The following is an 8,448-nucleotide window of genomic DNA, read 5'->3' on the forward strand; positions in this document are numbered from 1 at the left end:
GCATGAGACACTGTGGCCTGCCAATGATACTATTGGTATTTTAAATTTATTATTAGGAAAATTGCGTATGTTTTTTTTCAGGGAAGTCTCTTTAAAGATAACTCATGCTTCCAGCCTTTGGCTCAGCGTATGTGTTGAGTCCTCCTGCCTGCCAGGCCCTGTGGGCCTGGGCACTAGAACCAGGCAGACGAGGTCCCAGGAGGGAGGCGGGGCAGGTGGTTGACTCACACCTGAGAGCCAGGTGGTGCCTTGGGTGCCAGGGAGGGCATCTGAGTGCTGTGGCTTCAGTCATGGGGTAGGGGTGGGGGTGTCTAGGGATTGCGTTTGGGCGGAGGGGACAGTCAGGGCAGAGACCCCTGGAGTAGACTAGTGTGTGAGGGCCCAGGGGGCCATGGGGATGAGGGTGGAGGGGGTGCAGGGGTCTCCAGACGACTTCAGTATTTGCTGTGAGTGACATGGGGCACCAGGAGTCATTTGAGCAGGGGGTGACGGGTGCTGTTGATGTTTCCTGTGGCCTTTCTGGCTGCTTGCTGAGATGCTGTGAGGGCAGCAACAGAAGAGGGAGGACACGGGTGGTGGCTGGAGGGCCTGGCTGTGGTGGGAGGACCTGAGTGGAGCCAGGGCCCTGAGGGCTGCAGAGGCCGGAGGCTGTGGGTGCAGAGGCTGGGAGGCTGTGGGTGCAGAGGCTGGGAGGCTATGGGTGCAGAGGCTGGGAGGCTGTGGGTACAGAGGCCGGAGGCTGTGGGTGCAGAGGCTGGGAGGCTGTGGGTGCAGAGGCCGGAGGCTGTGGGTGCAGAGGCTGGGAGGCTGTGGGTGCAGAGGCCGGAGGCTGTGGGTGCAGAGGCTGGGAGGCTGTGGGTGCAGAGGCCGAAGGCTGTGGGTGCAGGGTGCTGCCGCAGGCCTGCTCGGGTGTGCTGTCCACAAGACGCCGAGCAGACAGCTGCGAGCCAGAAGTCAGGCAGAGCAAGGCTCTGGGAGTCCTGGGCACGGGGGGACTGTCATACCCTAAGCATTCCAGTTGTTAATGTGACAAATTAACTTGCTCCAGGGCTGAGGCTTTGGCAGGTGAAGGGGTAAAGAGGAGGAACCTGTGGGCAGGTGTGGCTGAGGGCAGGAAAGGAGCAGGTACAAGCTGAGGGTTTAGCAGTGGGAGACAGGTGGCGTGGCTGGAGTGTTTCCAGCAAGCTGGTGACAAATCTGTTGATGAGATTGTAAAGACAGAAAAAGAAATGTGTGTGAGTTTTGCTGGTATACCTCAAAATGCAAACGTTACAGCCGCAGTGCATGATACGTGCTTAGTGAAGACGGCAGAGGCATTGAATTTGCAGGTGGAAGACGTGAGCGGAAGTAGGTTCCCATGGTGGCAGTCAGGTAGCACCTGCGGGATTTCAGGGGCCCACTGGGGGTCTTGGAGCATAGTCCATGGTTCAGAGGCCCTGCTGAGGTCGTGTCTCTGTGCCTTGCTCCACAGATGTATAATTTCACCAGTTTCACTGTGAGCCTCAACGAGCTGGAGACAGGCATGGAGAAGACCCTGCCACCCACGGACTGCCGCCTGCGCCCTGACATCCGCGGCATGGAGAATGGCAACATGGGTGCGTCCACGCAGTCAGAGGAGGAAGCTTGGGGCCAAGGACGCCCTGGCTAGGGTGGGAGAGCACAAAGCACTCGCTGGCAGAAGCCAGGCTCTCGCCTACAAGGGGAGCCCCGTCCCTCTCCCTAAACAAACAGGCAGGCTGCAGGCCTTCTAACTAGGCTTCTCAGACCGTCTGTGGTGAAGGGCTTTAAAGATCTCTCGCCTGCCTCAGACCAAACCTTTTGTAAATAAATTAAAATTACATTACTAGAAAATGAAATGAAAAAATACATACAAAGTACAAATCCTAGGCCGAGCGCGGTGGCTCACGCCTATAACCCCAGCACTTTGGGAGGCTGAGGCAGGTGGATCACCCAAGGTCAGGAGTTCGAAACCATCCTGGCCAACAAGGCAAAACTCCATCTCTACTAAAAATACAAGAGATTAGGCGGTCATGGTGGCGCCCGACTGTAATCCCAGCTTCTAGGGAGGCTGAGGCATGAGAATCGCTTGTACCCAGGAGGTGGAGGTTGCAGTGAGCCGAGATTATACCACTGCACTCCAGCCAGGGCGACAGAGTGAGACCCTGCCTCACAAACAAACAACAACAACAAAAAACACAAACAAAAAACAAAGTACAAGTTCCTAATTTGTTATTATTAAATTAAACAAAAGTTAAGATTACATTTAGAAAACTGCACGTGTTCCACTGTGAGGATCCGTGTAGCCATCAGTGCAGTCACTGGCACGTGTGTGGCGTGTCCTGCAGCCTCACACTCTCCCGGTGGGCTCTGTGCTTGCAGCGTTCATCTGTAACATGGCAGATGAACAACTTTCTCACTCACTCATCTAGATGGAATCCGCAGTGAAACTCCTGGCTGAGGAGGCAAATCCAAAGTGTCCTGGGTTTTGAGTTAGTAATGTTTTATTTATTTATGTTTAGAGTCGGGATCTCACTCTGTAGCCCAGGCTGGACTATAGTGGTGTGATCTTGGCTCACTGCAGCCTCAACCTCCCAGGTTCAAGCCATCCTCCTGCCTCAGCCTCCCGAGTAGCTGGGACTACAAGTGCATGCCACTACACCTGGCTAATTTTTTGGGTTTTTTTTTTTTTTTTTTTTTTTGAGACGGAGTCTCACGCTGTTCCCCAGGCTGGAGGGCAGTGGTGCGATCTCGGTTCACTGCAAGCTCCGCCTTCTGGGTTCAGGCCATTCTCCTGCCTCAGCCTCCCCGAGTAGCTGGGACTACAGGTGCCCCTGCCACCACGCCCGGTTAATTTTTTGTATATTTTAGTAGAGACAGGGTTTCACCATGTTAGCCAGGACGGTCTCGATCTCCTGACCTTGTGATCCGCCCGCCTCAGCCTCCCAGAGTGCTGGGATTACAGGCATGAACCACTGTGCCTGGCCAGGTTTTTTTTTTTGTTTTTTTTGTTTTTTTTTTTTGAGACAGAGTTTCACACTTGTTGCCCAGGCTGGAGTGCAGTGGCGTGATCTCGGCTCACTGCAACCTCTGCTCACAGGTTCAAGAGATTCTCCTGCCTCAGCCTCCCGAGTAGCTGGGATTACAGGTGCCCGCCACCACACCCGGCCAATTTTTGTATTTTTAGTAGAGACAGGGTTTCACCATGTTGGCCAGCCTGGTCTCAAACTGCTGACCTCAGGTGATCCACCCGCCTTGGCCTCCTAAAGTGCTGGGATGACACTGTGCCTGGCCTAATTTTTGTATTTTTTATAGAGATGGGGTTTTGCCATGTTGCCCGGGCTGGTTGCCAACTCTTGGGTTCAAGCGATCCGCCTGCTTCAGCCCTCCTAAGTGCTGGGATGCAGGCATGAGCCACCGCGCCCAGCTTGAATTAGTGATGTTTTCAGAGAGAAACCCAGCTCACGAGTGTGACCTGGGAATGGATGTAACTTCTCATGCTTTGTATTCAGAATGTGTGCCCAGTCCTTCACAGAAGCCACATGGCAGTTACCCGGGAAGGTCAAGGCTAAAGGGAGCTCGTCTTTGGGAGATGGGCTCTGAGTTGCACAGGTGGGGCTGGCTCCCCGTCCTGAGCGCCTGCTCGCACACCAGGGCATTGGGTGGTGCCTGGGCCCTGCCTGTCCTTCAGACTCCTGCACCCGCAGACTTTGAGTAGTGCTGTCGTAGAACACGCAGCACATGCAGCCCCCATGCTCTACTCAGCTCCGCTTGGGAAGGGCCCTGTTGGCGTGCCGGCCGCTGTGGCCTCGGCAACTGTGATTGTGTTTGGTCTCCCGATCACAGAACCTGTTGTCTGTGGCATTCCAGCCACAGTGAGACATGCCAACTAGAGATCTAGGTGCATAGGGGGTGGCGGGGTGCGGTTCTAAGGTCTCTGTCTGACCTAAACTGTTTGCTTGGATCCTAGATCTGGCCAGCCAGGAGAAGGAGCGGCTGGAGGAGAAGCAGAGAGAAGCACGGAGGGAGCGGGCCAAGGAGGAGGCAGAGTGGCAGACGAGGTGAGTACTGTGGTAGCCACGCAGGCTGGGGCAGCGGGGAGGCCCCACACACACCTGGGGACGGCGGGGAGGCCCCACACACACCTGGGGACGGCGGGGAGGCCCCACACACACCTGGGGACGGCGGGGAGTGCCTTCTCTCACCCCCACACCCCTGTGGCTGGGCAGTTACTGTTCCATGGCTCCATTAAGGTAGTGACACCAGTGGCTGCCCCTGACCCATGTGGTTCCCACTGCCCAGGTAAGAGCCCATCCTAGCTTAGCGCACACTTTGCCGAGACCACCCGGCTGGGGGTGGCCTGTGCAGAGTGCCTGTCACCTCAGACCCGGGTCTACTGCCGGGCCTCATGGTGTGTTGGCCCAAAGCTTTCTTTTCAACTGTGGCAAAGTTAAAGAGAAAATGTTGCCTGAATGTGACTGCTCCCTTTAGGAAAACACAGCTGGTGAGTGTATGGGTGAGGTCCCCCAGGGGCCACAGCCCGTGTGTAGGGAGGTGGCACCGTGTGGAGGCCACGCCTGTCACACCGATACCACATCTTCCTGTCAGTGCCACTCAGGCTGATCTTCACCCCATGACCCAGAAAGGTTTTGTGAAAATTAAATCCCGTGTGCTGTGCCGTGGCGTCTGTGCACATGGAGGCTGGGACGGTGGCATGGGCTGCGTGGGCCTCACAGAAGCATCAGCTGCTGGGACATGATTCCTGTTTCTGTAACTGTCCTAAGCTGGCTGTAGTTTGTTCTATAATAGTCATAAGAGAAAAGAACCATTGAATAAGGATTCAATCAATAATGTACTGTAATAAGTATAATTTAAAAATGTATTTATAAGTAAAATGTTTTAGTTTGTTAGAAAAATCTTTGGGTGTTTGTGAAGCATCTTAATTCTGTAGGCCACCTGCTTGGTAGGATTCGTTCTCAAGGCCCAACAACAATGATACCCGGTGGCTTACATGTGGCTGGCGTTTTGAAACCAATTCTCACTGTTTGGGCTTCCAATTTAATTTGATACTAGGCTTTGAATGGTTTGATATTTGGAATTTGCCCTTAATCCAGAGAAAAATCAGCTTCAAAATAGTTAACCTTTCCTCATTTTTTTTTTTTTTTGTTGTTGTTGCCCAGGCTGGAGTGCAGTGGCGTGATCTCGGCTCACTGCAAGCTCCGCCCCTCCGGGTTCACACCATTCTCCTGCCTCAGCCTCCTGAGTAGCTGGGACTACAGGTGCCTGCCACCACGCCTGGCTAATTTTTTTTTTTTGTATTTTTAGTAGAGACGGGGTTTCCCCGTGGTCTCGATCTCCTGACCTCGTGATCCGCCTGCCTCCAGCCTCCCAAAGTGCTGGAATTACGGGCGTGAGCCACCGCGCCCGGCCTGTTCATTGTTTTTTTAAAGTGTTAAAAAAAATATACTGTGAAAATAATGATCTTTTGTCCTTCGAAGAAAATGTCTTCTCCTTTGTGAGCGCTGCCCCCACCCCACCCCCAACACTAAGGACACCCCTCGGGCCCTGAGTGCCAGCCGGGGGCTGTGGACGGCGGCTGAACCAGCGCCAACACTCAGGCCCTGTGCTACCTTCTCTTTGCCTATAATGTCTTCCTTTGTCCTCAGTTAAAAAAACCAATACTTGGTTTGCTTTAAATGACAGCACATGTGAACAGTGTAACTGCTTTTGCCTTGAAAAGGGAGAGGCATTATTTAGGCTCCAGTAACTTCTCTGATAAGGGCCCAGTGTGAGGATTTTGTGTTGAGTTAAACCCTCAAGATTTTGTTGGGAAGTGAAATTGACACGGGTGGCTGGATATCTTTAGGTTCCAGCATTCACATGACCACGTGATCAATAATTCTCCGTTGAAGTTGTTACGCTGGGCTGCATTTTAAAACCCACGTTACCGTGATGGTGCTGAGTTGGGGGAACACACTCCTGCACCCAGAACAGGGCTGCGTTTTCCTTTTGGGCTGAGCATCTTCTGACCCCCCTCCCTTGTATCCGGCAGGTGGTTCTACCCAGGCAATAACCCCTACACTGGGACCCCCGACTGGTTGTATGCAGGGGATTACTTTGAGCGGAATTTCTCCGACTGCCCAGATATCTACTGAGGGCCTGGAGGGGCCTGGGGCCCGGGACCGGAGGCTGACGAGGCTGGACTTCCTCGAGTGGCCACTGTGAGCCTCGTCACAGCAGAAACCAACTTTTCTAACGACTGAGTTCGCGGAGATAGCATCATCCCTGATCAAGGATGTAATTCTAATTAACTGTTGATTGCCAAACATTTCACTCTGCTGTGCCGTCTCTTCATAAAGCTTCACTTGGGATCATCGTCTTCATTAAGGTTTCAACAGGGAAATTCTTCACGGCGCCCTTTTATGTGGCAGAAATCAGCTGGGGCTTGTTTAGCTTCCAGCACACTCTCAGTCATAGCATGTGTAGCTAAAGGAAGTAATGGGAAGGGGTTCATGTTCTCTTTATAATGCAGTGGCAAAAGGTTCTGAAAGCCTTTTAAACTCGAACCAGTGGGGGAAAGATGGATCTTGAAGCTAATCCTGCAGAGAGTTTTATAGAGGCCAGGGATTGCCTTCTAAATTATGATAAAACAGAAGTGAAGAGTTTCAGAGCATCAGATTGAGTGAAAAGTTGTCAGATTCTGTATTTTTTAACAATCTTCAATAATGTAAAGATTACTTTTAAAATATTTAAGTTAAAACTACTTGAATAGTATTTTGCTGAAGAGCAAGATATGCATTAATCACCGGTTTTATACTGTCCAAAATGAAGCATCCCCGTGACAAACCAGAGTGGGCAGAAGCATCGAGAGCGTGACAGGAAATCCCAAGACTGCTTCCGCCTCAGAGGCGTCCCGGCTGCGATTCGCTGCCCTGTTGTCAGTGAGGCCTGGCTGTCACCGCACACCGCGTCCGTGTCTCCAGGGGGTTCCTTTCTTCTCACACGTCGCGTGTACCCATAGCACTCTTGTGTTTCTGTTTTTCCCAGTATGCATGTTTAAAATAGAAGTGACAAGAATCACATCCGGTTGTGTCCTGTGGGAGGGTCAGAGGCAGAATCTACTTACAGTGGTGTAATTAAAGTTATTTAACCAAAAATAGGTATGTGTCCATCTCAGCATTCACCTTTATCAAGTGACTGATTTTTTTTTCTTTTCTTTCCTTTTTTTTTTTTTTTTGAGACGGAGTTTCACTCTTGTTGCCCAGGCTGGAGTGCAATGGCATGATCTCGGCTCACCGCAACCTCCGCCTCCCGGGTTCAAGCGATTCTCCTGCCTCAGCCTCCCAAGTAGCTGGGATTACAGGCACGCGCCACCACACCTGGCTGATTTTGTATTTTTAGTAGACACGGGTTTTCACCATGTTGGTCAGGCTGGTCTCAAACTCCCGACCTCAAGTAGTCTGCCTGCCTCAACCTCCCAAAGTGCTGGGATTACAGGCGTGAGCCACTGCGCCTGGCCGTGACTGATTTTTTTTCATGTAGAATTGTCAACACGAGAGATCACAGTGGAGCACTTTGAAAGACCGTCGGTTGTGTGCACGCACGCACACACTCATGCACACGCTGACACGCGGTTGCATGGAGTCCAGGTTACTCAGGCCGGCACTTCTGAGTGACAGGTGCCACCTGCGTGTGTCTTGGCGTCCACATCACACCTGTGACGGAAGCACTTCTGGAAGTGAACACTCGTTTTGAAAGCTTGATTTTGTAGCTTTGGAAGCTGGAAGCGATGGTGTTTGGTGCCGAGTCCTGTGTCATCCTCGGGGCCTATGAGCTCCGTACCAGCCACTCAAAAGTGTCTGAACAGAACCGCTCCGTGACTGGTAGCTGGGTCTGAGGATTCAGGATTGTGGCGTTATTCAAAGAGGAGACTTTGAAATTCCCCGATGGCTGGAATGTGGAGCCCAGGTGCCTCTGGTGGAGGGTCATCTGCTTTTCCAGACTGTGGTTGTGAACCGGCTCCTTCTCCAAGAAAGGTTGCAAGCTGAGAACATCCAGAGGTGAGACTCAGACACATTGAAAGTGACTGCATTTAGGGAGGTTTAACGAGTTCTTACTGATCATTCCACTTGTTACTGGTTAAGATAATTTGCCCACGGGTTTGTTTCCAAGTCCTCTTCTAGGACCAGGCTCCTGGTATTTCAGGGGCTGGTTGGCTGCACAGACAGCCCCTCTTCTGCTGTCCTTGAGGACAGACACCAAACCAGAGGTGGAGGAAGAACGGTAGGAAGGCTGATGGCAAAAGCGGCTGTGTGTCGAGGTTATTTTAACTTTTTACTACTTTTTGTTACTGTTTCTGCAAATGCTAACACATAAACCATGACCTAACTTTTGTCACCTTGGATATCTATTGAATGTTAAACATCTCTAATAAAGATGGCCACCACTTAA

At 51.9% G+C, this 8,448-nt stretch overlaps 1 protein-coding gene across 4 annotated transcripts in view; it reads left to right on the forward strand.

Annotated features, from left to right (window-relative positions):
* Positions 1-8,448, forward strand: part of OSBPL2 (oxysterol binding protein like 2) — a 57,663-nt gene extending 49,215 nt beyond the window's left edge. For 3 of the 4 annotated variants that reach the window (NM_001363878.2, NM_144498.4, NM_014835.5), the window contains 3 exons: positions 1,472-1,595; positions 3,968-4,058; positions 6,050-8,448. In NM_001363878.2, coding sequence (NP_001350807.1) covers positions 1,472-1,595; positions 3,968-4,058; positions 6,050-6,152 — 318 coding nt within the window. In that variant the 3' untranslated portion in view covers positions 6,153-8,448. The remainder of the gene's footprint in view (positions 1-1,471; positions 1,596-3,967; positions 4,059-6,049) is intronic. The other variant, NM_001278649.3, reaches the window with a different exon arrangement.

This window comes from Homo sapiens, chromosome 20 (assembly GCF_000001405.40).
Source record: "Homo sapiens chromosome 20, GRCh38.p14 Primary Assembly".
NCBI classification, from domain to species: Eukaryota; Metazoa; Chordata; class Mammalia; order Primates; family Hominidae; genus Homo; species Homo sapiens.